Raw genomic sequence first — 27,575 nt, forward strand, 5'->3', positions numbered from 1 at the left:
ATGTAACACATACACACACACAGTCATGTGTCACCATGGAGTGTACTTACAAAAACCTAAATGGTAGAGCCCACTGCACACTTAGGCTACATGGTATGGCTTATTACTCCTAGGCTACACACCTGTACAGCATTTTACTGTACCGAATACTGGAGGCAACTGTAGCACGATGGTATCTGTGTACCTAAAGATTTTTTTTTTTTTTTTGAGACAGGGTCTCACTCTTGTAAGTCAGGCTGGAGTGCAGTAGCACAATCATGGCTTACTGCAGCCTTGCCTCCTGGCTCAATCAATCCTCCCACCCCAGCCTCTCAAGTAGCTGGATAGGCTCATGCCACCACCATGCCTGGTTAATTTTTGTTTTTTTGTTTTTTGTTTTTTTTTGTAGAGACAGGGTTTCGCCAGGCTGCCCAAGCTGGTCTTGAACTCCTGAGCTCAAGTTATCCACCTGCCTTGGCCTCCCAAAGTGCTGGGATTACAGGCATGAGCCACTGTGCCCAGCCCTAAAGATATCTGTACATAGAAAGGGTAAAAATACAGTATTATAATCTTATAGGACCACCATTGTATATGTGGTACATTTCAACTGAAACATTGTTATGTAGTGTATGACTATATATACATACACACACACACAACCCTCTATATCCACAGGGGTTCGAGACCAGCGTGGCCAACATGGTGAAACCCCATCTCTACTAAACACACAAAATTAGCCAGGCGTGGTGGCGGGTGCCTGTAATCCCAGCTACTTGGGAGGCTGAGGCAGGAGAATCGCTTGAACCCAGGAGTTGGAGGTTATAGTGAGCTCCGGAGTTGGAGGTTATAGTGTGTATGTATAGACAATTTTAACACACAGTCTATACATACACACACACACACACATACATACACACAAACATATATGTATACCCAATCCATATGTGGAATCTGAGAGGAAAGGAAATGAGAATAGGGCAGAAGAAAAAATGGCATATGGCTAAGAATACTCCAATAGTGACAAAGGACCCAAGCCTCAGATTCAAGAAACAGTATAAATTCAAGGCAGATGAAAGCAAACTCCACCTAGACACATCATAGTGTATCTGATGAAAAACAAAAACAGAAAAATCAGCTCAGCATGGTGGCTTATGCCTGTAATACCAGCACTTTGGGAGGCCAAGGCAGGCGGATCACCTAAGGTCAGGAGTTCGAGACCAGCCTGGCCAATATGGTGAAACCCCGTCTCTACTAAAAATACAAAAATTAGCCAGGTGTGGTGGCACATGCCTGTAATCCCAGCTACTCGGGAGACTGAGGCAAGAGAATCACTTGAACCCCGGAAGCAGAGGTTGCAGTGAGCAGAGATGGCACATGGCACTCCAGCCTGGGTGACGGCGTGAGACTCCGTACCAAAAAAAAAAAAAAAGAAAAACAGAAAAATCTCAAAAACATCCAGGGAGTAGGGATGTGGGATACAAGGCGACAGATTACCTTTAAAAGGATGATGATAAGGCTTATAGCTAACAATAAGTGATAAAGAATGGAAGCCAGAAGATAGTAAAAGAAAAATAGTAACCTAAAATGATATAGCAAAAACATCCATCAAAAATGTAGGAAAAGTAACCATCAAAAATGTAGCTGATCAATGAAAAAGTAGTACGTATAAGAAATGGTCTTCAATGGCTGTTAATATAACAAAAAGATGAATGTTCTACACCAAATATTCTACGCCACATATGCAAATATACACCAACACCTAATAAGTTTACTTGCCAAAAAAAAAAATCTAATAAAAATCTCTCAATCCAGGGTCAGCAATCTTTTTCTTTTTTTTATGGAAACAGGGTTTCCTTCTGTCACCCAGACTGGAATGCAACAGCGTGATCACAGCTCACTGCAGCCTCAACCTCCCCAGGCTCAAGCGATTCTCCCACCTCAGCCTCCTGAGTAACTGGAATTACAAGGACACACCACGACACCTGGCTATTTTTCTGTGTCTTTAGTAGACACGGGGTTTCACCATGTTGCCCAGGCTGGTCTCAAACTCTTGAGCTCAAACAAACCTTCCACCTTGGCCTCCCAAAGTGCTGGGATTATAGGTGTGAGCCACCATGCCCAGCCAGCAACCATTTTCTATAAAGAAACAGAATAGTGGCTGGGCGCAGTGGCTCACGCCTGTAATCCCAGCACTTTGGGAGGCCGAGGCGGGTGGATCACGAGGTCAGGAGATCGAGACCATCCTGGCTAACACAGTGAAACCCCGTCTCTACTAAAAAAATACAAAAAATTAGCCGGACGTGGTGGCGGGTGCCAGTAGTCCCAGCTACTCAGGAGGCTGAGGCAGGAGAATGGTGTGAACCTGGGAGGTGGAGCTTGCAGTGAGCCAAGACTGCACCACTGCACTCCAGCCTGGGCGACAGAGCGAGACTCCATCTCAAAAAAAAAAAAAAAAAAAAAAAGAAACAGAATAGTCAGGCGTGGTGGCTCACGCCTGTAATCCCAGCACTCTTGGAGGCCAAGGTGGGTGGATCCTGAGGTCAGGAGATCGAGACCATCCTGGCTAACAGAGTGAAACCCCGTCTCTACTAAAAAATACAAAAAATTAGCCAGGCGTGGTGGCGGGCACATGTAGTCCCAGCTACTCGGGAGGCTGAGGCAAAAGAATGGTGTGAACCCAGGAGGCAGAGCTTACAGTGAGCCAAGATCACACGCCACTGCACTCCAGCACTCCAGCCTGGGCGACAGAGCAAGACTCTGTCTCAAAAAACAAAAAGAAACAGAATAAATATTTTAGGCTTTGCCAGCCATACAGTCTCTGTTACAACCAGTCAACTCTACCAATGCAACACTTAAGCTGCCATAGACAATATGCAAATGAATAAATGTGGCTGTATTCCAACAAATATTTATAAAAACAAAGGAGGTCCAGATTTGACCCGTAGACTGTGGTTTGCTGACCCTTAATTTAGGTCTAATTTCCAACGTACAGACAACACGAGGGACAGAAAACATGTTAAATACTATAGAGATGTAATTAGAAAATTCACATTGTGAAAAACCATTCAGACAAATGAACTACCTCCTACAAAAAATAAATCGTAATGGTAAATAAAGAAATCATGCAGTAAAAAATTAAGACATGTCAGCCAATTGCAATGTGTGGACTTAACAGCAAAATGAAGGTGACAGAGAAAAAGTCAGTGAATCTGAAGACAGATCAATTGAAATATAACATTTGGCCGACAAAGACAAAAATGACTTTTAAAAAATTGAACCTGTGGAGTTCACGGGGACCTGTGGAGCAACAGAAAAATTGACATTTCATGTGTATAGACTCCCAAAATGAAAGGAGAAAGACAGTAATACAGAAAAAAAAAATAGAAAAAACAAAAGCTAGAAATATCGCAAATCTGGCAAAAGACATAAGCTTACAGATGTAAAAAGTTCAGTGAACACCAAATAGGATAAGCCAAAGAAATCCAAGCCACAGCACACATCATAAGCAAACTGCAAAAAACAAAAGACAAAGAAAAAAAATCTTAAAAGCATCTAGAAAAATGATGCATTCATAGGAAAACAACAATTCAAATGACTGCAGATTCCTCATGAGAAAACATGGAAGTCAAAAACAAGTGACGTAACTTTTTTTTTTTGAGACGGAGTCTTGCTCTGCTGCCAAGCTGGAATGCAGTGGCGCGATCTTGGCTCACTGCAACCCCCGCCTCCCGGGTTCAAGCTATTCCCCTGCCTCAGTCTCCTGAGTAGCTGGGACTACAAGGGCATGCCACCACGCCCGGCTAATTTTTTGTATTTTAGTAGAGATGGGGGTCCACCATGTTGGCCAGGATGGTCTCGATCTCCCGACCTCGTGATCTGCCCGCCTCGGCCTCCCAAAATGCTGGGATTACAGGCGTGAGCCACCGTGCCCAGCCCATAACATTTTTAAAGTACTGAAAGAAACGGCTAGCTCAGAATTCTATATTCAGGCCGGCTGCGGTGGCTCACGCCTGTTATCCCAGCACTTTTGAAGGCTGAGGCAGGCAGATCATCCGAGGTCAGAAATTCGAGACCAGCCCGGCCAACATGGTGAAACCCCATCTCTACTAAAAACACAAAAAGTAGCCGGGTGTGGTGGTGGACACCTATAATCCCAGCTACTCGGGAGGCTGAGGCAGAAGAATCAATCGCTTGAACCCAGGAGGCGAAGGTTGCAGTGAGCCGAGATTGTGAGATTGTGCCACTGCACTCCAGCCTGGGTGACAGAGTGAGACTGTGTCTCAAAAAAAAAAAAGATTCTATATTCAGCCAAAAAAAAAAAAAAAACACTCCTTAGGAATGAAGGTGAAATAAAGCTATTCTCAGGTAAAGGAAAACAAAAAAAATTTGTTGCAAGAAAACCCTCTCTAAAATAATTTCCAAGAAGAATTTCTTAGACAGAAAGAAAAAAAAAAAGCTCAGGAGATCCAGAATACAAAGGTGAAATAAATATCTAGGTGAATATAATTAAATATTCTTCTCCTAGTGCATTCCTTAAAATGTTTGAAAAAAATCATAATATTATCTAATGGAATTTTCAACATAAAGGTAATAGTAAAGACAACTACAACATAAAGGTGAAAGATCAAGAACCCAACATGATAAGGTTTTCACATTCCACTTATAGTGGTAAAATACTGATTCCAAGGAGATTTTGACAACTATATATATTGTAATCTACACAGGAACCACTAGAAAAGCCACACCAAAAGACACAGTCAACTGCTTAAAGCAACCACTAAAACAGCCATACGCAAAGAGATATATTCAAGAAGATACACATAAATTAAAATGAAATACTAACAAATGTTCAAATAAACCAACACCAGCAGGAAAGGAAAAAGAGAAGAATAAAAAACAGAGGTAAGGCCAGGCACAGTGGCTCAAGCCTGTAATCCCAGCACAAAGGGAGGCTGAGGCGGGCAGATCACCTGAGGTCAAGAGTTCAAGACCGGCCGGGTGCGGTGGCTCACGCCTGTAATCCCAGCACTTTGGGAGGCCGAGGCGGGAGGATCACGAGGTCAGGAGATCGAGACCATCCTGGCTAACACGGTGAAACCCCGTCTCTACTAAAAATACAAAAAATTAGCCGGGCGTGGTAGCGGGCGCCTGTAGTCCCAGCTACTCGGGAGGCTGAGGCAGGAGAATGGCGTGAACCTGGGAGGCGGAGCTTGCAGTGAGCCGAGATCGCGCCACTGCACTCCAGCCTGGGCGACAGAGCGAGACTCCGTCTCAAAAAAAAAAAAAAAAAAAAAAGAGTTCAAGACCAGCCTGGACAACAGGGCGAAACCCCGTCTGTACTAAAAATACAAAAAGTAGCCGTGTGTGGTGGCGGGTACCTGTAATCCCAGCTACTCAGGGAGGCTGAGGCAGGAGAATCACTTGAACCCAGGAGGTGGAGGTTGCAGTGAGCCAAGATCCCTCCATTGCACTCCAGCCTGGGCAACATGAGTGAAACTCTGTCTCAAAAAAAAAAAAACAGAGGTAAAAAAGGGAAAACAATAAAATGTAGACCTAAATCCAAACGTATCAATAATCACATTGAACATAAATGTTCTAAATACACCAGTTAAAGGTTAGAGATTGTTAGAATAGATAAAAATAACTACCAACTATATGCTGGCTACAAGAAATTCACTTCAAATATAATAATAAGGTAAGTTAAAAGGATGGAAAACAATATAACATGTAAAAACTAAACAAAAAGGGGCTGAACATCATGTCCACTAGGATGGCTATAATTTAAAAGATAGATAATAAAAAGTATTGGTGAGGATATAGGGAAAAACCTTTTTTTTTTTTTTTTTTTTTGAGACAGAGTCTTACTCTGTCTCCCAGGCTGGAGTGCAGTGGGGCCATCTCGGCTCACTGCAACCTCCACCTCCCAGGTTCAAGCAATTCTCCCACCTCAGCCTCCTGAGTAGCTGTGACTACTCAGGCAAACACCACCACGTCTGGCTAATTTTTGTATCTTTTGGTAGCGACAGGGTTTCACCATGATGGCCAGGGTGGTCTCAAACTGCTGACCTCAAGTGATCCACCGGCCTTGGCCTCCCAGAGTGCTAGGATTGCCGGCATAAGCCACTGTGCCCAGCCAAGAATATGGAGAAATTTAAACTCTCATGTATTGCTGATGGAAATTTAAAATGGTGCAGCCACTGTGGAAAATGGTCCAGCAGCTCCTTAAAAGGTTAAACTTACCGAGTATGCTTAACTGGCGTATGACCCAGCAATTTCACTCCTAAGTAAATACCCAAGAGAAGTGAAAACATATGTACACACAAAAACTTACATATGAATTTTCCTTTGTTTTTGGAGATAAGGTCTCACTCTGTCACCCAGGCTGGAGTGCGGTGGCATAATCATGGCTCACTGCAGCCTCGACCTCCTCAGGCTCAGGTGATCCTCCCACTTCAGCCTCCCAAGTAGCTGGGACTACAGGTGCACTTGCCACCAACCAAACCTGGCTAAATTATTTTATTTTATTTTATTTTGAGACAGAGTTTCACTCTAGTTGCCCAGGCTGGAGTGCAACGGTGCAATCTCGGCTCACCGCAACCTCCGCCTCCCAGGTTCAGGTGATTCTCCTGCTTCAGCCTCCCGAGTAGCTGGGATTACAGGCATGCACCACCACGCCCAACCAATTTTATATTTTTAGTAGAGACAAGGTTTCTCCATGTTGGTCAGGCTGGTCTTAAACTCCTGACCTCAGGTGATCTGCCCACCTCAGTCTCCCAAAATGCTGGGATTACAGGTGTAAGCCACCACACCTGGCAATACATACATTTTTCAAGTTCACATGAAAAATTCCCCAAGACACACTGTATCTTGGGTCTTAAAACAAACCTTAACAAATTTAAAAGGATTGAAATCATACAAATCATATAAGGCATGTTATCTGACTATAACTGAATTAGACTATAAATCTGTACCAGAAACATAACAGAAAAATCCCAAAAACATGGAAATTAAACAAATTTCTAAATAACTCGTGGATTAAAAAAAATTAGAAAAATTAGAAAATATTTTGGACTGAATAAAAATACAACAAATCAACAATTTAAAAAAAAATTCAAGTGAGGTGTAGAACAATTTTTTAAAATATAACATATCAAAATTTGTGGGATGCAGCAGTGCTTACTGATAAATTCATAGCATTCATAGCATTAAATAATTTCATTAGAAAAGTCTCAAATCAATAACCTAAGCTTCCACCTTAAGAAAGTAAAAAAAGGAACAAAGTAAAATCAGGAAGAAAAAAAAAAAGAACAGAACTCAATGAAATTAAAAACATAAAAATAGGCAGGGCAGGGTGGCTCACGCCTGTAATCCCAGAACTTTGGGAGGCCAAGATGGGTGGATCACCTGAGGTCAGGAGTTTAAGACCAGCCTGGACAACATGGTGAAACGCTGTCTCTACTAAAAATACAAAAATTAGCGGGGCATGGTGACACACACCTATAATCTCAGCTACTCAGGAGGCTGAGGCAGGAGAATTCTTTGAACCCCAAAGGCAGAGGTTGAAGTGAACCAAGATCACACCACTGCACTACAGCCTGGAAGACAGAGCAAGATTCCATCTTAAAAAAAAAAAAAAAAAGGTCTAAATGTAAAAGGTAGGCTGGGCGCGGTGGCTCACCCCTGCACCCCCAGCACTTTGGGGAGCCAAGGGGGGAAAATCACGAGATCAGGCATTTTAGACCATCCTGGCCAATGTGGTGAAAGCCCATCTCTACTAAAAATACAAAAATTAGCCAGGCGTGGTGTTGCGCTCCTGTAGCCCCAGCTACTCGGGAGGCTGAGGCAGAAGAATCACTTGAAACCAGGAGACAGAGGTTGCAGTGAGCCAAGATCATGCCACTGCACTCTAGCCTGGGTGACAGAGCAAGACTCCGTCTCAAAAAAAAAAAAAAAAAAAAAAAAGAATGTAAAAGGTAAAGTGTTAAAACTTTAAACAAAAACACAGAAGAAGTTCTAAGTGACCCTGTGTTAGGCAGAGTCCTTTAATACTACAACAAAAGCATGATCCAAAAAAGGAAAAAATTAATTGGACTTCATCAAAATTAAGAACTGCTCTTCAGAAGATACTGTTAAGTGAATGAAAAGATAAGCCAAAGAATAGAAGAAAACATCTGCAAATCTTGTACCTGGTGAAGAACTTATATCCAGAATACGTTAAAAATTGTCAAAACTTAATAAGTAAACAATCCAATTTAAAAATGGGCAAAAGATCTGAAGAGACATTTTACTAAAGAAGATAAACAGGCCAGGCGTGGTGGCTCACGCTTGTAATCCAAGCACTTCAGGAGGCCAAGGTGGGTAGATCACCTGAGGTCAGGAGTTCGAGACCAGCCTAGCCAACATGGTGAAACGCTATGTCTACTAAAAATACAAAAAAATTAGCCAGGCGTGCTGGCGCGCACCTGTAATCCCATCTACTCAGGAGGCTGAGGCAGGAGAATCACTTGAACCCTGCAGGTGGAGGTTGCAGTGAGCCGAGGTCATGCCACTGCACTCCAGCCTGGGCAACAGAGCGAGACTCTGTCTCAAAAAAAAAAAAAAAAAAAAAAAGATACACAAGTGGCAAACAAGCACCTGAAAAGGTGCTCAACATCATTCATTACTCATTAGAGAAATGCAAATTAAAACCGTAAGAAGCTACTACAGTTAATATCAAAAACAGCCTACTATATGATGATAGAAGTGACAGCAGTGGTCACCTTTAGAAGGGAAGGAGTGGGAGGGGCCACAAGGAAGCTCCTATGGTACTAGAAATGTCTTATTTTTTGGTCAGGTTGGTGAATAACACAAGGGGTTCATTTTGTACCACTTATGCTCACCTTTCTACATAAACTACACTTCAATTAAGAATTTCAGGGCCGGGCGTGGTGGCTCACACCTGTAATCCCAGCACTTTGGGAGGCCAAGACGGGCAGATCACGAGGTCAGGAGATCGAGACCATCCCAGCTAACACAGTGAAACCCCGTCTCTACTGAAAATACAAAAAATTAGCCAGGCGTGGTGGTGGGTGCCTGTAATCCCAGCTACTCAGGAGGCTGAGGCAGGAAAATGGCGTGAATCCGGGAGGCGGAGCTTGCAGTGAGCCGAGATCGCCCCACTGCACTCCAGCCTGGGGGACAGAGTGAGACTCCGTCTCAAAAAAAAAAAAAAGAAGTTCAGGCCAGGCAGAGTGGCTCACACCTATAATACCAGCACTCCGGGAGGCTGAGGCAGGCAGATGGATTACCTGAGGTCAGGAGTTTGAGAACAGCTGGCCAACATAGCAGAACCCCATCTCTACTACAAATACAAAAATTAACCAGGCATGGTGTACGCCTGTAATCCTAGCTACTCAGGAGGCTGAGGCAGGAAAATCGCTTGAACCCAGGAAGCAGAGGCTGCAGTGAGCTGAGATCGCACCACTGCACTCTAGCCTGGGCTACAGAGTGAAACTCCATCTCAAAAAAAAAAGAAAGAAAAAGAAAAGAAAATAATCTACAAGCTATTAATCTCAAAGTATAAATCATTAGCCTCTACCAGTAAACTATTAAAACCCAAAAGAACCTATACAGGTAAAGAAAGAATAAATGAAACTGATATAATTGTACAAAAGAATTTTTTTTTTTTTTTGAGACGGAGTCTCACTCTGTCGCCCAGGCTGATCTCCGCTCACTGCAAACTCCACCTCCCGGGTTCACACCATTCTCCTGCCTCAGCCTCCCGAGTACCTGGGACTATATGGCGCCCACCACCACTCCCGGCTAACTTTTTGTATTTTTAGTAGAGACGGGGTTTCACCGTGTTAGCCAAGGCATGGTCTCGATCTCCTGACCTTGTGATCCACCTGCCTTGGCCTCCCAAAGCGCTGGGATTACAGGCATGAGCCACAGCGCCCAGCCACAAAGGAATCTTATATGGCAATAAAAATGAACTACATAGCGAGGCATAATGGCGTGCGCCTGTAATCCCAGCTACTCATGAGGCTGAGGCACGAGAACCACTTGAACCCAGGTGGTGAAGGTTGCAGTGAGCCAAGATCGTGAGACTGCACTCCAGCCTGGGTGTCAGAGCCAAGACTCTGTCTCAAAAAAAAAAAAAAAAAAAAAAAAGCCTGAAAGACACCAGGAATAGCACACCCTAAAGAGTTTCATTTATACCTTCAAAAACAGGCAAATTAATCTGATGTTAAAACTCATCTTTTGTTCATGATTGGTAGATAGTGGTTACTTTTAAAAAGGAAGGAGGGCCAGCCTGGGCAACATAGTGAAACCTTGTCTCTACAAAAAAAATCAAAATATGAGGCGACAGGATCGCTTGAGCCTGAGAGGTTGAGGCTACAATGTGCCATGATCTCACCAGTGCACTCCTACCTGGGTGACAAAGCCTGAAAAAAAAAAAAAGGAAGAAAGGAGTAATAATTGGTAGAGAGTTCAAGGGGAATTTCTAGAGTTCTATAATATTTTACATCTTGACCAGGTGATTGTTATGTGGATGTATTCACTTTCTGATAATTCACTTAGCTGTATACTTCTGATTTGTGCACTTTAATGTACACACACTATATCTCAATGTTTCAAGAAGGGTTATTTCAAGTTCTTCTAATCATATTCCACTACTAAAAACATTTTAACAATTCCCCATAGCCTAAATGCAAAATCGAAGGTCTTAAGCATGGCAAAGCATAATATGGTTCCTATCTTTAACTTAATCCTCATGTCTGTCCATCCCCACGTATACTTTGTATTTCAATTTATCAAATTATTTACAGGCCCAGAACATAAAATACTGCTTCAGCCTTCAGGCCTTTAGATAATATTTCCATTAGTTGAAATCTTCTCCCTCTTTACACGCCACTAGGTCACCAAACTGTCCCTGAAATTTCCACCCAACTTGGATATTTACTCCTCCAAGATGCTTCCCTACCCCTCCACTCCAAAATTAATCACCCTCTTTTCTATATTCAGTGTATTACTGCATGCATCAAGTGATGGCACAACTGTCCATATGTCAGTCCATACTCTATTGTAATGTAAACAATTCAAGCACAAAGTCTAAATTTTCCTGTTGCCAATGCCAAACATGAGGCTTGGCATGTGGTGGTTACTTAACAAATTTCACTCTTATGTTTATTTCTGTACTAATTAAGACTGTAAAATTATCTAGGATGAAGCCTAAGTCTTATAATTCCTCCACAGCACACAGCATAGCAAGAGCACACTGCAGGCATACAACAGTGATGGTTTAGCTAGCAGTGGAATGTTTACCGAAACACAGTTCCATGGACAAAATGCACTTTTCAAACCATATGCTTACCTATAAGATAAGATACGTATGTCCTACTGGAATTGCAAAAGGTCATCTTTATATATATATATATATATGCATTTCTAGAGTTTTGAGCTACAAGAAACCAATAGCAATCACCTAGTCACAACCCTTAGGAAAGAACAGAAGCCTAGAAAAATTAAGTGGCTTACTCAAGGTTAAGACTATAGCCAAAAGAGTCAAGACTAGGACTCAGATTGCCTAGGTTCTCTCACAATCCATGTAGCCTCCCTTTTGTACTATCTGACTTCTCCAAGTATGACTGCTTTACTATTTTATATTTAGATGGTTAATATCCTCAATTGCAGGGCCTTTAAAAATTTTCCTTTTAAAATTTGTCTTTAACAAACAAATACTAAAAGTACCAACAAGTTCAACCAGGAAAACACCATTTCCAGTTCCAATATCAAGCACTGAAGCATCCAGTGGAATCTTGTGTTTCTGCATCCACCTTATTAGTCGATTCATACTCTCTTCTCCAAACCTGTTAGAGAGAATCAGTCAAATAACTGAGGGATACAGAGCAAAAGTCACCACTATATTCCATTTAAGCTATTTATACCATATGCTCAAACTCTTATTTGAAAGTGAAAACATCTGTGACTGCTTCAGCTTTGTCTCTACTGTAATTTAGGAGAAACCACCTCCAGGAATACAACAGAATAGACAAGGTCAGTATGTTATTTACTAACATTTCTCTATATCAGCATTAACAGTTGTATGTGTTGGTGTCTCAGAATTTTATTGTTTATTGACAAAGGACAACTATAGGGTGAAATGCTGTCATCAAACGTAAATGTGAGATATTAAAAGAGGGCTCACACCCATTCTCCCAACACTTTGGAAGGCCACGGTGGGAGGACTGCTTGAGGCCAGGAGTTCGAGACCACCCTGGGTAACACAGTGAGACCCTGTCTCTACAAAAAAGAAAATTTGCTGGGCATGATGGCATGCAGCTATAGTCCCAGCTACCCAGGAGGCTGTGGCGGGAGGATCACCTGGGCCCAGGAGGTCCAGGATGTAACGAGTTATGATGATCATGCCACTGTACTCCAGCCTGGATGACAGAATGACACCCCACCTCTCTAAAAAAAAAAAAAAAGTAAAAAATTAAAAAAGAATAAAAGAAGAGACATACTTTAAATCTACCCACTAAAGCCAGACTTAATCCAGGGTTCCCAGGATTTTTAGGCTTTCTTTGGGTATAAGCACTTGAATATATGCATTTTTTTTTTTGAGATGGAGTCTCACTCTGTCGCCCAGGATGGAGTGCAGTGGCGCGATCTCAGCTCACTGCAATCTCCGCCTCCCAGGTTCAAATGATTCCCCTGCCTCGGCCTCCCAAGTAGCTGGGACTACAGGCGCGCGCCACCATGCCTGGCTAATTTTTTGTCTAATTTTCGTAGAGACAGGGTTTCACCATGTCGGCCAGGATGGTCTCTATCTCCTGACCTCGTGATCTGCCTGCCTCGGCCTCCCAAAGTGCTGGGATTACAGGCGTAAGCCACCGCGCCCGGCGAATATATACGTATTTTTTTAAACACACACACATATACATATAATCTTCTAGATTATAACTTGATTCTTTTCCTAACTCACCAGATTTCACCTGTATCTCCATATTCTCGGAAAGTTTGCAGTTCTCTCTCATAGACAGCATCCCAACTATGTAAACAATGAAATGCAAAGCAAGACTCTTGAATTAAACTGTATTATGAATTAAATGTATGTTTCTAATACATTACAGAGCTATTTATGACAGAGGTTTAAACATCACTAGTGTTATTAATAAATACACATAGTTCAATCTTTTAACGTCCTTGAGTTAAAAGAAGGAAATACATGGGCAAGCAGAATACGTTTATACTGTACATGTAAAGCATTTAGGACAATATCTGATGCACAACAATAAGTTTTAGCCTAAAAAAACACAAAGACATTTGTCCACGTATCCCTAAGTCCCTGACCCAAGTTCAAAACTTGATGAAACAAGCACATCTGGTCTCAAGTGTGCAGGCACACAGTCTCTTTCCTGTGCTATTTGTCTCTGCCTATTCCAGTCTTCTAGCCCTCCGTTTAAATTTTCTCTGGACGCTTTTCTTCTTTTTTTGAGACGGAGTCACGCTCTGTCACCAGGCTGGAGTGCAGTGGCGCGATCTCGGCTCACTGCAACCTCCGCCTCCCGGGTTCAAGCGATTCTCCTGCCTCAGCCTCCCGAGTAGCTGGGACTACAGGTGTGCGCCACCACACCCCGCTAATTTTTGTATTTTTAGTAGAGACGGGGTTTCACCATGTTGGTCAGGCTGGTCTCGATCTCCTGACCTTGTGCTCCGCCCGCCTCGGCCTCCCAAAGTGCTGGGATTACAGGCGTAAGCCACCACGCACCCGGCCCTCTGAATCCTTTTCATTTGCCGTCTCTTTTCCTACAATGATTCTCTAGAATCCCTGCTCCCTCTCATCCCGCCAATTTACCTCTCCCCAACTGTTCCCTGCAGCCATTCATCCACCCACATTAATTCATTTAATAATTCCTGAGCGTCTGTTTGAGGTCAGATCGCTTTCTTTCACCCCAAGATCCCCCACTATCTCCCCGCTCCCGCCTCGGGTCATCCGCTATTCCCACCCCACTTCCAGCTCCCACATCCCTCCCCTCCTACTCAGCCTTTTCGGCTCCCAGGCCCAGCACTTCTCCCTCGGTCTCTCACTCTCGCCGACCAGCCCTATTCGCCAGCCTCGCCCTCTCCCCCTTTCCCCCAAGCCTGGCCCTCAGGTTCGAGACTCCCAAAAGGCCTCCCAGGAGCCAAAGCCTGTCCCGCACCCACAAGCCCCTTGGGCTCCAATCCCTTGAAACGTCGGTTAACCGCGTAGGGCGACCCCTAGGGATTCCACTCTTTGAAATCCCCGTAAGCCCCCCGCCAGGTGGCCCTGCTCCCGTCACGCCCCCGAGGGTCTCCCTGTCCCTGAGCCCCGGGTCTCCACCCCGCCGTCCCCTTCTCGGGGCCCAGGCAGGGCGGCACGGCTCATCCTCCCCTGCCCAGCGTCACACTCACTGCTCGCGGGTCCCCAGCGCCGACGGGACGAAACCGTCCTCCCCGGGACTGCCCTTGTCCGACCGCGCCGCCACCGCAGCGCCACCGCCGCCGTCAGCGCCCGAGCTCATTTCGCTCCACGTCCTGGACGGCCGTTGGGGCCGCCATAGAGACGGGGCACAGGCAGAGCGGACGAGCGGACCGGCGCCTCTAGGCGGCGGGAGGCCGCCCTCTCGACTGCTCCAGCCCCCGCGCTGGGGCTGGGATGGGGACGCGACGCCCTCTGCTCTACCCCCGGCTCCCTGCGCCGGCGGGGACCGTGCGCTCTCCCCACAGCGTTAGTGGCATCCCCTTCGTCGAGGTCCAAGAGCGGCTGTATTTGGGGACTGCTGTTCGTGAGGGACCATTAGAGGTATTGCATTTTGGAAAACGGCTGGCTTCCGCACCGTGGACACCTAAAGCCGACGCCGCTCTACCCAAACGCAGAAATCACTTCACCTCTCCACTGCGTGCGCCTGTCTGCGAAGCGGGTGCGAGCGTCCATCCAGTTATTTGGCTCCTTGGCAAGAGGCCAACTTCGTTTCTGGCTAAGATTCTGACTTGAAAACCGCGTTCTGGCCTCTTGTGACTTGATGTCACCGGTAGACGTGGAAATTTATGTCCAGGGAAAGGAATGCCCTGCAACTCTCCACAATACGCCAAACACGGGGATCAGTGTGTTGTGGAAGAAAGACTGCTAAGTGAGAGGATGCCCGGATAAGCCTCAGCTCTGCCTCGACCCAGGCACCTGGCCTTGCTTAAGTTTGTTTTGTTTTGTTTTGTTTTGTTTTGTTTTTTGAGACGAAGTTTCGCTCTTGTCGCCCAGGCTGGAGTGCAATGCAATGGCGCGATCTCGGCTCACCGCAACCTCCGCCTCCCGGGTTCAAGCGATTCTCCTGCCTCAACTTCCCGAGTAACTGGATTACAGGCGGGCGCCACCACGCCAGGCTAATTTTGTTTTGTTTTGTTTTTTAGACGTAGTCTCGCTCTGTCGCCCAGGCTGGAGTGCAGTGGCTCGATCTCGGCTCGCTGCAAGCTCCGCCTCCCGGGCTCACGCCATTCTCCTGCCTAAGCCTCCGGAGTAGCTGGGACTACAGGCGCCCACCACCACGCCCGGATAATTTTTTGTATTTTTTTTAGTGGAGACGGTGTTTCACCGTGTTAGCCAGGATGGTCTCGATCTCCTGACCTCGTGATCCACCCGCCTCGGCCTCCCAAAGTGCTGGGATTACAGGCGTGAGCCACCGCGCCCGGCCTAATTTTGTATTTTTAGTAGAGACGGGGTTCCTTCATGTTGGTCAGGCTGGTCTCGAAGTCCCGACCTCAAGTGATCCTCCCGCCTCAGCCTCCCAAAGTGCAGGGATTACAGGCGTGAGCCACCGCGCCTGGCCTCTTGTCTAAGTCTTAACCTCTGTGTGTTTCCTCCCTGTACCATGTCAGAACTAGACGGTGTCTTTGTTCCACAAAACTGCTCCCAACCCGCGAACCGGAGATTGCATCTGCCTCTGGGTCTGAGTGCCATTGGTAGATCTGCAGTATAATACAAGAGATCTTATGGGCCAAAGTCTGGGGTATTTTCTGTAGTAGCTGTGAAATACTGCTGGTCCTATGTCCTAGGCAAGGCCCTCAAATGCCCCTAGCGAGACTGCCTTCCAACCAAAAGGAATTGTTTGCTAGGCCACGTTTCTGTTGTCTTGGCAGACAGAAGCCCAGTAACAAGTCCCTAAAGATAAAATAGCATCAGAAATCCTTCCTAGGATCGGATGCGCATCTCCTATAGATGCTGTTCTGAGATCTTCAGGCAGCCACTAGTGATAGGGTAAGATAAAAGGCAGACAGGAGGCCGGACACGGTGGCTCACGCCTGTAATCCCAGCACTTTGGGAGGCCAAGGCAGGCAGATCACGAGGTCAGGAGATAGAGACCATCCTGGCCAAAATGGTGAAATCCTGTCTCTACTAAAATACAAAAAATTAGCCAGGCATGGTGGCGCGCGCCTGTAGTCCCAGCTACTTGGGAGGCTGAGGCAGGGGAATCATTTGAACCTGGGAGGCGGAGATTGCAGTGAGCCGAGATTGCGCCACTGCACTCCAGCCTGGCAACAGAGTGAGACTCTGTCTCCAATAATAAAAAAAAAAAAAGGCAGATGGAAATCCTTGTGCGTAATGATTAAAGTAAAGGCCGGGCGCAGTGGCTCAAGCCTGTAATCCCAGCACTTTGGGAGGCCGAGGCAGGCGGATCACCTGAGGTCAGGAGTTCGAGACCAGTCTGGCCAACATGGCGAAACCCCATCTCTACTAAAAAGACAAAAATTAGCCAGGCATGGTGGCAGTCGCCTGTAATCCCAGTTACTCAGAAGGCTGAGGCACGAGAATTGTTTGAACCAGGGAGGCGAAGGTTGCAGTGAGCCAAGACTGCACCACTGCACTCCAGCCTGGGCGACAGAGTGAAACTTTGTCTCAAAAATAAATAAATAAATAAAATAAAATAAAATTCAAGAAAGAACTTAGGTAACCTTATTACAGAGCAATAAAACCACCGGATGACCCGGCCAATTAGTGCTGCCCTGGGCAAGCGGTTGTTTTGATCTTTTCTAGGTTCTAGATGCTAGAGAAAGCAAGCTTGAGTGGGGCTGAGTGAGGCTTTAAAAGTTTTAGGTCAGCCGGGTGCGGTGGCTCACGCCTGTAATCCCAGCACTTTGGGAGGCCGAGGCGGGCGGATCACAAGGTCAGGAGAACAAGACCATCCTGGCTAACACGGTGAAACCCCGTCTCCACTAAAAATAAAAAAAAAATTAGCTGGGCGTGGTGGCGGGCTCCTGTACTCCCAGCTACTTGGTGGCTGAGGCAGGAGAATGGCGTGAAACCGGAAGGCGGAGCTTGCAGTGAGCCGGGATCCCGCCACTGCACTCCAGTCTGGCCAACAGAGCGAGAAACGGTAATCCCAGCTACTCAGGAGGCTGAAGCAGGAGAATCGCTTGAACCCTGGAGGTGGAGGTTGCAGTGAGCTGAGATCGTGCCACTGCACTCCAGCCTGAGTGACAGAATGAGACTCTATCTCAAAAATAAATACATAAAATAAAATATAAAATAAAAGGGGCCTACTTCATTAGGTATTAAATCTGTTCTCTGGCAAAAAAAATTAATGAAATAAAATCGGCCTACATCAGAGTGTTGTTAGGAAGATTAGATAAGTTCATAGACCGTGCATGTACAGAGTGTAGAACAGAGCCTGATACAGTCTGTTCAGTAGATATTAATTATCATTCTTATTGTTAGTGACTTCTTTTGTTAATTTTTTAAAATTATTTTTTAAAGTTTTTGTGGGGCCGGGCGCAGTGGCTTATGCCTGTAATCCCAGCACTTTGGGAGGCCGAGGCAGGAGGATCATGAGCTCAGGAGTTCGAGACCAGCCTGACCAACATGGTGAAACCTCGTCTCTACTAAAAATACAAAAATTAGCTGGGCATGGTGACGTAATCCCAGCTACTCAGGAGGCTGAGGCAGGAGAATTCTCTTGAACCCGGGAGGCGGAGCTTGCAGTGTGCCGAGATCGCGCTACTGCACTCCAGCCTGGGCGACAGAGTGAGTCTCCGTCTCAAAAATAAATAAATAAATAAAATAAAATGTTTGTGGGTACATAGGTGTATATATTTATGGGGTATATGAGATGTTTTGATACGGGCATGCAATATGAAATAAGCACGTTGGAGAAAGGGGTATCCATCCCCTCAAGCATTTATCCTTTGAGTTACAAACAATACAATTACATTCTTTAAGTTATTGTAAAATATACAATGAAGTTATTATTGTCTATAGGCACCCTATTGTGCTATCAAATAGTAGGTCTTATTCATTTTTTTTTTTTTTTTTTTTTTTTTTTTTTTTTTTTTTTTTACCCAGCCTCTGGTAACCATCCTTCTACTTTGTATGTCCATGAGTTCAATTGATTTGATTTTTAGATCCCACAAGTAAGTGAGGACATGTGATGTTTGTCTCTGTGCCTGGCTTATGTCACTTAACGTAATGATCTGCAGTTCCATCCACGTTGTTGCAAATGATCATGTTTCTGTTGTCTTGGCAGACAGACAACATTGGCCCTCATTCTTTTTTGTGTACTCCCTTGTGTCTATGTGCTACTTTTGCTTTATCCATTCATCTGTTGTTAGACACTCAGGTTGCTTCCAAACCTTAGCTACTGTAAACACTGCTGCAACAAACATGGGTGTGCAGTTATCCCTTCAATGTACTGATTTCCTTTCTTTGGGGTATATACCCAGCAGTGGGATTACTGGATCATATGGTAGTTCAATTTTTACTCTTTTGAGGAAACTCCAAACTGTTCTCCATTATGATTTTACTAATTTCCATTCCTACCAACAGTGTACAAGGGTTGCCTTTTTTCCACGTTCTCGCCAGTATTTGTGATTGCCTGCCTCTTGGATAGAAGCCATTTTAACTGGAGTGAGATGATATCTCAGTGTAGTTTTGATTTGCATTTCTCTGATGATCAGTGATGTTGAGCACCTTTTCATATGCCTGTGTTAGTGACTTCTGATTCCAACCTCGCTCTCCCTCCAGATTTGTATTTTCTCTTATTTTATTGTATTGCAGCTGCCTGGATGTCCCTTGCTACATTAAACTCAATGTGTTCAACACTGAACTCACTTGCATTACCACCCCCCCACCATGCCTCCCCACCAAACCCTTTCTCCTCTGTGTTTGCGGTTGGTTGATCCCTGACCATCTACCCTGTCACCCAAAGTGGAGCATCATCTTCCTCCTTTCCTCCCTGCACTGCTCTTCTTGGTCAGGACTGGTCTCTGGGCTCAGGCATTTCTCCAGCCTGTCACCACTGCTCTGCCTTCCTTCTGGCCACTCAGGCCATTGCAGCAGCTTCTGAGTAAACCTTCCAGGAGCCATTTGGCACTTGGCTCCTTCTCAGGCCCCAGCTATGCCTTGTTTCCCATTACCTCTTGAAAGGCCTCCAAGACTTGCCCAGTTTTCCTCTCCTTCAGTGCCTGACACCCCTCACTCCTTTCCTTTGCATTCTCCTGCCTGATCATGGACTGTACAGGCAAACTGACTTGAACTTGAATCACAACTTACTCCATACAAAGTATGACCTTGAGTGAGTTACTTAATTTAAACATCTTAAGTCGCAGTTTCCTCAAATGGGCATAATCCAAATGAAGCTGGATTTTCTTGTTCCCACTTTCAGGCCCATCATAGCAAAGTGTGGCATTCTCATGCAGAAATGCTTTGCTTTGTATTGATATATATATAAATGGAATATTACTATTTGCATGTTTGCATTTTACATCTTCATTTAACAATATTCCAGTGATATATTGTACTTAGAGATCTTTTTTGTCAATGCCTATAGATCTCTTACCTTTTAAACTAATTTATGATGATAGAAATGATGGCTAGCAATCGTACAGCTGTCACTGTGTGCCAAGAACTGTTTTCAGCGCATCCAATATATTATTTCAGTTACTCCTAAAGATAGCCACATTCCCAGCACTTTGGGAGGCTGAGGCGGGCAGATCACGAGGTCAGGAGTTCGAGACCAGCCTGGCCAACACAGTGAAACCCGGTCTCTACTAAAAATACAAAAAAATTAGCCGGGCGTGGTGGTGGGTGCCTGTAATCCCAGCTATTCGGGAGGCTGAGGCAAGAGAATTGCTTGAACCCAGGAGGCAGAGGTTGCAGTGAGCCGAGATCGCGCCACTGCAGTCCAGCCTGGGTGACAGAGCAAGATTCCATCAAAAAAAAAAAAAAAAGATAGCCACATGAGGTAGATACTAGTATTAGCCTCATTTTGCAGATGAGCTAACTACGGCACATAGAAGTAAGTTCTGGAGCTGAGACTGGGACCCAAGCAATCTATCATAAAGTTTTCAAGCATAACCACTACATGAGTGTGCTCTATCACTATAGGTGTTTTGCTGAAGATTTTCTTTTGTGTGTTTGTTTGTTTGTTTGAGACAAGGTCTCACTCTATCCCCCAGGCTGGAGCGCAGTGGCATGATCTTTTTTTTTTTTTTTTTTTTAAACAGGGTCTCACTCTGTCACCCAGGCTGGAGTGCAGTGGCATGATCTCAGCTCACTGCAACCTCTGCCTCCTGGGCTCAAGCAATTCTCCCACTTCAGCCTCCTGACTAGTTGGGATTTCAGCCACATGCCACCACATCTGGCTCATTTTTTTTGTCTTTTTAGTAGAGACAGGATTTCACCATGTTGGCAGGCTCGTCTTGAACTCCTGACCTCAAATGATCTGCCCGCCTCTGCCTCCCAAAGTGCTGGGATTACAGGCATGAGCCACTGCACCCAGCCCAGTGGCATGATCACTTAACTCACTGCAGCCTCGACTTCCTGGGCTCAAGCGATCCTCCTAACTCAGCCTCCCAAGTAGCTGGAGTTACAGGTGCCCAACACCATGTCCAGCTAATTTTTTAATTTTTTCTGTAGAGATGGGGGTCTCACTATGTTGCCCAGGCTGGTCTTGAACTCCTGGGCTCAAGCGATCCACCTGCCTTGACCTCTCAAATTGCTGGGATTACAGGTGTTAGCCACCGAGCCGGGTCAGAGCCTAAAAATTCTTTATTCTCATCTCTCTGTCCCCAAAGTCCAGAATCTCACTGTAGCCACTCATCTCCTCTTCTCATCCTCTTTCTCCTTCACCCCCTAAATTTTCCCAGTTCATCTGCCTCTTTCCTCTCTCATCTCCTACATCCCAAATGGTTTCTTCAGTGAGCAAACCTAGGCACCTCCTTATTAGCAAGCCTACGCTTTTTATCAGCTGCTTCTGTTTCCATCCCCCTCCAGCACCCTGCTGATCAAACACAGCTATCTTCCCTAAAACCCTCCCACTTTTTCATGCAGTGTTCATTCAACAGTCTTGTATCTGGCAACATTTACATGCCAGCCATTATTCCAGATGATGGAGATGCAACAGTAAATAAGCAGGAATCCCTGTCTTTGCTAGGTGTGGAGTCTCTTGTTTGTAATCCCAACTACTCAGGAGGCTGAGGCAGGACAATCACTGGAGTCTAGGAGTTTGACGTGCAGTGAGCTATTGGGTGACAGAGCAAGACCCTATATCTAAAAACAAAAATTAAAAAAAAGAAGAATCCCTGTCTTCGTGAAGTTCAGAACATGCTCGAAGAGGGGGAAAGACAATGGACAGGAAAGATGAATAACACAGCGTTGCTGCTAGATGATAAGTGGTAAAGGGAAAAGTAAACAGGGAAGTACTATTGAGAACATGGGGTGAAGGTTGCAATCCTTGATAGGGTACCAGGGAAGGACTCTCTGAGGGGGTGGCAGCACTGAGTGAAAACCTAAAAGAGGTTGTCATAGGTTTGGTTCCCAGGGAGCAAAGTGTGACACTGAGATGAACAGGGAGGAAGTTGATTAGGGAGTACTCTGAGAATCATCATCTGTTGGAGAAGAAAAAGAAGCAGGATTGGCTGAATGAAGTAGTTGGACTGAGGTACCACTACAACAGAATTTCAGCAAATCCCTCCTGGCCCTCCCTTTTTTCATCTACCCCGACCAGGCATTGAATGCTGGATGCCCACAAAGGGAGGACTGGCCTTAGGCAATGAAGCTCTCTTCAACTAGGTATACTTATAGGAGAGAGCTGACCTGCAGCAATCAATCAATCCTGCAAGGCAGACAGGAGGTCTCGGTGGCACATCAAATCATCTAGGGCAGAAACAGTAAACCATGCAGCTGCCTGGGAGAAGAGCATCCCAAGCAAAGAAAACAGCAAGCACAAAGGCCCTAAAGTGGAATGAGCTAGGGACGTCCAGGAAGCAGAAAGAAGACTAATGTAGCTGAAGCTCGGTAAATAAAGGGGGCAGTAGCAGGTAATAAAGTCAGACAAGTAATAGGGGCCAGGTCTTGGCAAGATTTGGTGTTTGGCCAAGAAGCAACATGGTTTAGTTCTTACATTTAAATGTTGACCATCTTGCTATGTTGAGCATAGATTTGGCAAGGAGGGGATTAAAAGCTGAAGCAGGAACACTGGGTTTCTCAGCCTTGTCACCACTGATGATAATTCTTCATTGTGGGCCTGTTGTTGTGCACTGTAAGACGTTTAGCCACTTCTCTGGCCTCTACCCACCCACCAGATGCCAGTGGCACCTGACACCGAATTATGATATCTGATAATGTTTCCAAACATTGCCACATGCCATTTTGGGAGGCAAAACTGCCACCAGTTCGGACTCCCTGAGTAAGAGGATACAAAATTCTGAGAGAGAGAGATGATGGTGACTTGAACCACCGTTTCACTTCCCTCCCACCCCAAGACGCTACAGTCTCAACTCTGCAGCCAAAGTGATTGTGTTATCTGTTATCAAATTATGTCACTACTATACCAAACTGTTTATTTGCCTGAATTTCCTCCATCCTTTCATCCTTGAGCTTGTAAATGTTGCCTTTTTTCTTTTCCTTTTTTTTTTCTTTGAGACAGAGCCAGAGCGCAGTGGCACAATCTCGGCTCACTGCAATCTCTGTCTCCCGGGTTCAAGCGATTCTCATGCCTCAGCCTCCTGAGTAGCTGAGATTACAGGCATGCACCAGAATGCCCGGCTAGTTTTTGTATTTTCAATAGAGATGGGCAGAGGGGAGTGGGCAGGGTCTCACCATGTTGGCCAGGCTGGTCTTGAACTCCTTGTCAGGCCTCTGAGCCCAAGCTAAGCCATCATATCCCCTGTGGCCTGCACGTATACATCCAGATGGCCTGAAGTAACTGAAGAATCACAAAAGAAGTGAAAATGACCGGTTCCTGCCTTAACTGATGACATTACCTTGTGAAATTCCTTCTCCTGGCTTAGAAGCTCCCCGACTGAGCACCTTGTAACCCCCGCCCCTTCCCACCAGAGAACAACCCCCTTTGACTGTAATTTTCCACTACCTACCCAAATCCTATAAATCGGCCCCACCCCTATCTCCCTTGCTGACTCTCTTTTCGGACTCAGCCCGCCTGCACCCAGTTGAAATAAACAGCCTTGTTGCTCACACAAAGCCTGTTTGGTGGTCTCTTCACACAAACGCGCATAACACTCCTGACCTCAGGTTAACACTCCCCACACACGCCCCCCCCTCCCAAAGTGCTGGGATTACAGGCATGAGCCACCGCGCCCGGCCTCAAATGTTGGCTTTTTGTTTTGTTTTGTTTTTGAGACGGAGTCTTGGTCTGTCACCCAGGCTGGAGTGCAGTGGCGCGATCTCGGCTCACTGCAAGCTCCGCCTTCCAGGTTCACGCCATTCTCCTGCCTCAGCCTCCTGAGTAGCTGGGACTACAGGAGCCCGCCACCACGTCCGGCTAATTTTTTGTATTTTTAGTAGAGACGGGGTTTCACCGTGTAAGCCAGGATGGTCTCAAACTCCTGACCTCGTGATCCGCCCACCTCGGCCTCCCAAAGTGCTGGGATTACAGGCGCGAGCCACCACGCTCAGCCTAAATGTTGGCCTTTTTTTTTTTTTTTTTTTTTTTTTTTTGAGACGAAGCTTCGCTCTTGCTGCCCAGGCTGGAGTGCAATGGCACGATCTCGACTCACCGCAACCTCCGCCTCCCGGGTTCAAGCCATTCCCCTCCCTCAGCCTCCCGAGTAGCTGAGATTACAGGCATGTGCCACCACGCCCGGCTAGTTTTTGTATTTTCAATATAGACAGGGTTTCTCCATGTTGGTCAGGCTGGTCTCGAACTCCTGACCTCAGGTGATCCGCCCGCCTCGGCCTCCCAAAGTGCTGGGATTACAGGCGTGAGCCACTGCGCCCGGCTAGAATGTTGTCTTTTAATACTAAGGTTTCACTTGCAAAGGGAAAGAACTGTTTGCGGAACTATCAACCGCTGTCTGAGGCGTGTCGGGAGCGACACCCCTGCGGAGGATACGGTGCCGGGGTCCTTCCGATCGCAAAAACCGGCGTTCCTCAGCCTTCAAGACTGTGAGCGCTCAGGGCCCTCGGCCGCTGCCCGCCGCAGACTCCACTTCCCATGATGCCAAGGGGTCGGGCCGTCCGGAAGGCCGTGTGCCCTCCGCGGGGCATGATGGGGTAGCTGGAGATTTCCATCATGGCGGCGTCCATTTCGGGCTACACCTTCAGTGCTGTGTGTTTCCACAGCGCCAACAGCAACGCGGACCACGTAGGTGCCGGGCCCCCTGCCGCGCCCGCTGGGGGCTTTCAGCCTCTGTCTCAGGCCGGCGCTCGCGGCCAAGCCGGGACCTCATGCGGCTCGCCCCCTGGGCACCAGGGCCGGCCGGAGGAGCTGGTGACCCGGGCGGCTCCCGCCCCCGGTGAGCTCTTGCCTCTGGGGGCTCCTTCGCCCCTGGGACAGGCCCCCTGGCTTCGCGCTCTCAGCCGCTCGGCCGTCCCGGCACAGCCGTCTCCCGTGCAGCAAAACTGTCCCACCTGGCCTCCTGCAGTGTCAGGAGTCGCTCGGTGGAAACCGAGCGCCTGCCCCTCCCTGAAAGTCAGGCTTCTAGACTTAAGAGGGGCGCACGGGGTCGGGAAGGAATCTAAAGGCCGGGCGTTTAGTCCAGTAGGCGAGGTACTCAGCCCCGCCCGCCGGTCTCGCAGGTTGTCGTGGGGGTGCTGCGAGTGAAACCGTGGCTGTCACTACTGATACTTGTTAGACACGGTTGTGTGTTTTCTTCGCCCTGATGCAAAATGGAGAATGTATACAGGAGCGTTCGGTGCAGGGTCTATTTTGTATTTCCTTGAAGTTGCGTGTTTAGTTCTTTGTGACTAGTTCTTTCACTAGTCACAGTGAAATAGGGAAGTGACAGGCCCACTACTGAGTGATGGGAAATGCATAGGCTGTGAGCCCACAGGAGGAGCAGATCCTGTCTGTTTCAGTGTCTTTATTTTACAAATTGTCTTTTAACGTCATTGGCCTCTGATTGGAAATGCTTTGTGAAACTAGATCACTTCTCTCTTAAAGGAGGTATATAATTTGGCCACCAAATTGGGGGATTATTTTAAGTGATGTTAATAGTGAATGATTCAAACTCATTAAACCTATGTGTGGGGTTTTTGGTTGTCATTACAAAGCAAAATGGTACACTGCAGAAGGAGGAACTGCATTTGGTTTGATGTCAGCAATCTTAGCTTCCATTAATAAAAACTGATTTCACAGGGAGGTGATTCCATTAGTAAATTGAATGCAATTAAATTATTGTACCTTTCATCTCTTCAGTGTTGATGGTAGAACTTAATGATAGGAATAGGAATATATACATCATGGGTTTTTCCAGAAGCAGCTTTGAAGACTATGGCCTAGGGTACTACAACCAGCTATTTAATAATGTAATATAGTTCCATATGTAAGGGTTTGTGATACCCCTAGTGTCCATGGACTATTAAAAATGGGTCCTTTATTTCTTGAATGCCTACTAATATCACAGTTTATGTATATGGCAAGATTACTGTAAGAACAAGCAGCTACCTGTTGAAAAAAATTAATTCAAGAGATATCCCTTAATATCTACTCTGCAAGGCGTGGTGCTTGACTTCATAGAAATTTTCACCAATGCCAATAGTTTGCAACTGTGTTTTATATGACCATGCCTGTTTATATTAACTTTGCCACAATTATAGATGTGGAATCCTTGAAAATAATTTCAATTTTAAGGTTGAAGAACCAACAATTTACTTTTGTAGTACATACTTATTTTGTCCAGTCAAGAAATTAATTTAAAACCACTCATTTGTAGACCTGGGGCTACCATACTTTTCTGTACAGGGCCAGATAGTAAACTTTGTAGGCTTTGTAAGCCATATGGTCTCTATAGCAACTATTCAACTCTGCTATTATTGGGAGAAAGCATCTATAGACAATAAAAGATTCAAGTGACTCTTATTAGCTGGACACGGTAGCTCATGCCTGTAATCCCAGCACTTTGGGAGGCTGAGGCGGGCAGATCACCTGAGGTCAGGAGTTCAAGACCAGCCTGACCAACAAGGAGAAACCCCGTCTCTACTGAAAATATAAAATTAGCCAGGCGTGGTGGCACATGCCTGTAATCCCAGCTACTAGGGAGGCTGAGGCAGGAAAATCGCTTGAACCCGGGAGGCAAAGGTTGTGGTGAGTCGAGATCGCGCCATTGCACTCCAGCCTGGGCTACAAAAATAATAATAATAAAATAACATAGAAACCATTTTTAGCTTACAGGCCGTACATTAATAAGCATTAGGCTGGAATTAGTCCCCATGCCATAGTTTGCCAACTCCTACTATAAAGGAACATTGGCTCAGATAATCCAGACCAGTAGATGTATAAACATTCCACTTGTACTTGGCTTTAGAATGTCCTTTTAAAAAAAAAATTACAGACAAGGTCTTGCTATGTGGCCCAGGCTGATCTCAAACTCCTGGCCTTAAGCGATCTTCCGTTTTTGGCCTCTTAAAGTGTTGAGATTACAGGCGTGACCCACCGCATCTGACCTAGAATTTCTTGATGTCACTGTTGAGTTATATCATTATTCCACAAATGGAAGACTGTTGTAGGGTTACCAGATGAAATACAGCACACTCAGTTAATTTGAATTTTAGATAAATAGCAATTTATTTATAGTATAAGTATATCCCAAAACTTACAAAATAATTATTTGTTATCTGAAATTAAAATTTTATTGTGTGTCTTGTATCTTTTGCTAAATCCAGCAACCCAGTGCTGTAGAATACTAGGAATCTAGCTATGTTCTTAAGTCTAAAGTTCTGTGTGAATATGAAATTATTTTTTCACTTTGATTTTTTGAAAGTGGGTATTTGTTTTGTTTGTCTTTTGCTTGTGACAAGACAAAACTGCTTTTATGGTGAGAATTCATAACTGAAAGATTTTCTTAGGGTAAAACAAGCTGATTTAGGCAGTGTTTCTCAAATTAGTAGTCATGGACACTCCTTTGGATCTCAGAGAGTTTTTTTTTTTTAAGGGAATATATATATTTCTTTTTTTCTTTCTTTTTTTTTTTTTTGAGACAGAGTCTTGCTCTGTCACCCAGGCTTGAGTGCCGTGGCACAATCTTGGCTCACTGCAACCTCTGTCTCCTGGGTTCAAGCGATTCTTCTGCCTCAGCCACTCTAGTAGCTGGGATTACAGGTGCGCACCACCACACCCATCTAGTTTTTATATTTTTAGTAGAGACGG

At 45.5% G+C, this 27,575-nt stretch overlaps 2 protein-coding genes across 5 annotated transcripts in view, besides 8 other annotated features; one reads left to right on the plus strand and one right to left on the minus strand.

Moving 5' to 3' along the window:
• The window catches only part of EEF1AKMT2 (EEF1A lysine methyltransferase 2), a 35,635-nt gene extending 21,077 nt beyond the window's left edge, over positions 1–14,558 (minus strand). For 2 of the 4 annotated variants that reach the window (NM_001416243.1, NM_212554.4), the window contains exons 1-3: positions 14,395–14,558; positions 12,944–13,009; positions 11,714–11,828 (exon numbers count right to left, since the gene is read on the minus strand). In NM_001416243.1, coding sequence (NP_001403172.1) covers positions 11,714–11,828; positions 12,944–13,009; positions 14,395–14,504 — 291 coding nt within the window. In that variant the 5' untranslated portion in view covers positions 14,505–14,558. Of the gene's footprint in view, positions 1–11,709; positions 11,829–12,943; positions 13,010–14,394 lie in introns of all 4 variants that reach the window. The other 2 variants (NM_001304468.2, NM_001304467.2) reach the window with 1 other exon arrangement.
• Positions 14,510–15,234: an enhancer, noted in NCBI's record as "H3K27ac-H3K4me1 hESC enhancer chr10:126480408-126481132 (GRCh37/hg19 assembly coordinates)". NCBI's record gives its function as "activates a minimal SCP1, AML or CMV promoter by ChIP-STARR-seq in primed H9 embryonic stem cells {active_cell/tissue: H9 hESC(primed)}" and the evidence as "EXISTENCE:reporter gene assay evidence [ECO:0000049][PMID:30033119]".
• Positions 14,672–14,731: a silencer, noted in NCBI's record as "silent region_2919". NCBI's record gives its function as "represses an Ori minimal core promoter by ATAC-STARR-seq in GM12878 lymphoblastoid cells {active_cell/tissue: GM12878}" and the evidence as "EXISTENCE:reporter gene assay evidence [ECO:0000049][PMID:35858748]".
• Positions 14,862–15,171: an enhancer, noted in NCBI's record as "active region_4186". NCBI's record gives its function as "activates an Ori minimal core promoter by ATAC-STARR-seq in GM12878 lymphoblastoid cells {active_cell/tissue: GM12878}" and the evidence as "EXISTENCE:reporter gene assay evidence [ECO:0000049][PMID:35858748]".
• Positions 15,235–15,957: an enhancer, noted in NCBI's record as "H3K27ac-H3K4me1 hESC enhancer chr10:126481133-126481855 (GRCh37/hg19 assembly coordinates)". NCBI's record gives its function as "activates a minimal SCP1, AML or CMV promoter by ChIP-STARR-seq in primed H9 embryonic stem cells {active_cell/tissue: H9 hESC(primed)}" and the evidence as "EXISTENCE:reporter gene assay evidence [ECO:0000049][PMID:30033119]".
• Positions 24,089–24,643: an enhancer, noted in NCBI's record as "H3K27ac-H3K4me1 hESC enhancer chr10:126489987-126490541 (GRCh37/hg19 assembly coordinates)". NCBI's record gives its function as "activates a minimal SCP1, AML or CMV promoter by ChIP-STARR-seq in naive and primed H9 embryonic stem cells {active_cell/tissue: H9 hESC(naive and primed)}" and the evidence as "EXISTENCE:reporter gene assay evidence [ECO:0000049][PMID:30033119]".
• Positions 24,316–24,585: an enhancer, noted in NCBI's record as "active region_4187". NCBI's record gives its function as "activates an Ori minimal core promoter by ATAC-STARR-seq in GM12878 lymphoblastoid cells {active_cell/tissue: GM12878}" and the evidence as "EXISTENCE:reporter gene assay evidence [ECO:0000049][PMID:35858748]".
• Positions 24,490–27,575, plus strand: part of ABRAXAS2 (abraxas 2, BRISC complex subunit) — a 34,849-nt gene continuing 31,763 nt past the window's right edge. Inside the window, exon 1 of the mRNA NM_032182.4 lies at positions 24,490–24,572. Coding sequence (NP_115558.3) covers positions 24,501–24,572 — 72 coding nt within the window. The 5' untranslated portion in view covers positions 24,490–24,500. The remainder of the gene's footprint in view (positions 24,573–27,575) is intronic.
• Positions 24,644–25,197: an enhancer, noted in NCBI's record as "H3K27ac hESC enhancer chr10:126490542-126491095 (GRCh37/hg19 assembly coordinates)". NCBI's record gives its function as "activates a minimal SCP1, AML or CMV promoter by ChIP-STARR-seq in primed H9 embryonic stem cells {active_cell/tissue: H9 hESC(primed)}" and the evidence as "EXISTENCE:reporter gene assay evidence [ECO:0000049][PMID:30033119]".
• Positions 24,686–24,765: a silencer, noted in NCBI's record as "silent region_2920". NCBI's record gives its function as "represses an Ori minimal core promoter by ATAC-STARR-seq in GM12878 lymphoblastoid cells {active_cell/tissue: GM12878}" and the evidence as "EXISTENCE:reporter gene assay evidence [ECO:0000049][PMID:35858748]".

The sequence above is a fragment of the Homo sapiens genome, chromosome 10 (genome assembly GCF_000001405.40).
Source record: "Homo sapiens chromosome 10, GRCh38.p14 Primary Assembly".
Taxonomy (NCBI): domain Eukaryota; kingdom Metazoa; phylum Chordata; class Mammalia; order Primates; family Hominidae; genus Homo; species Homo sapiens.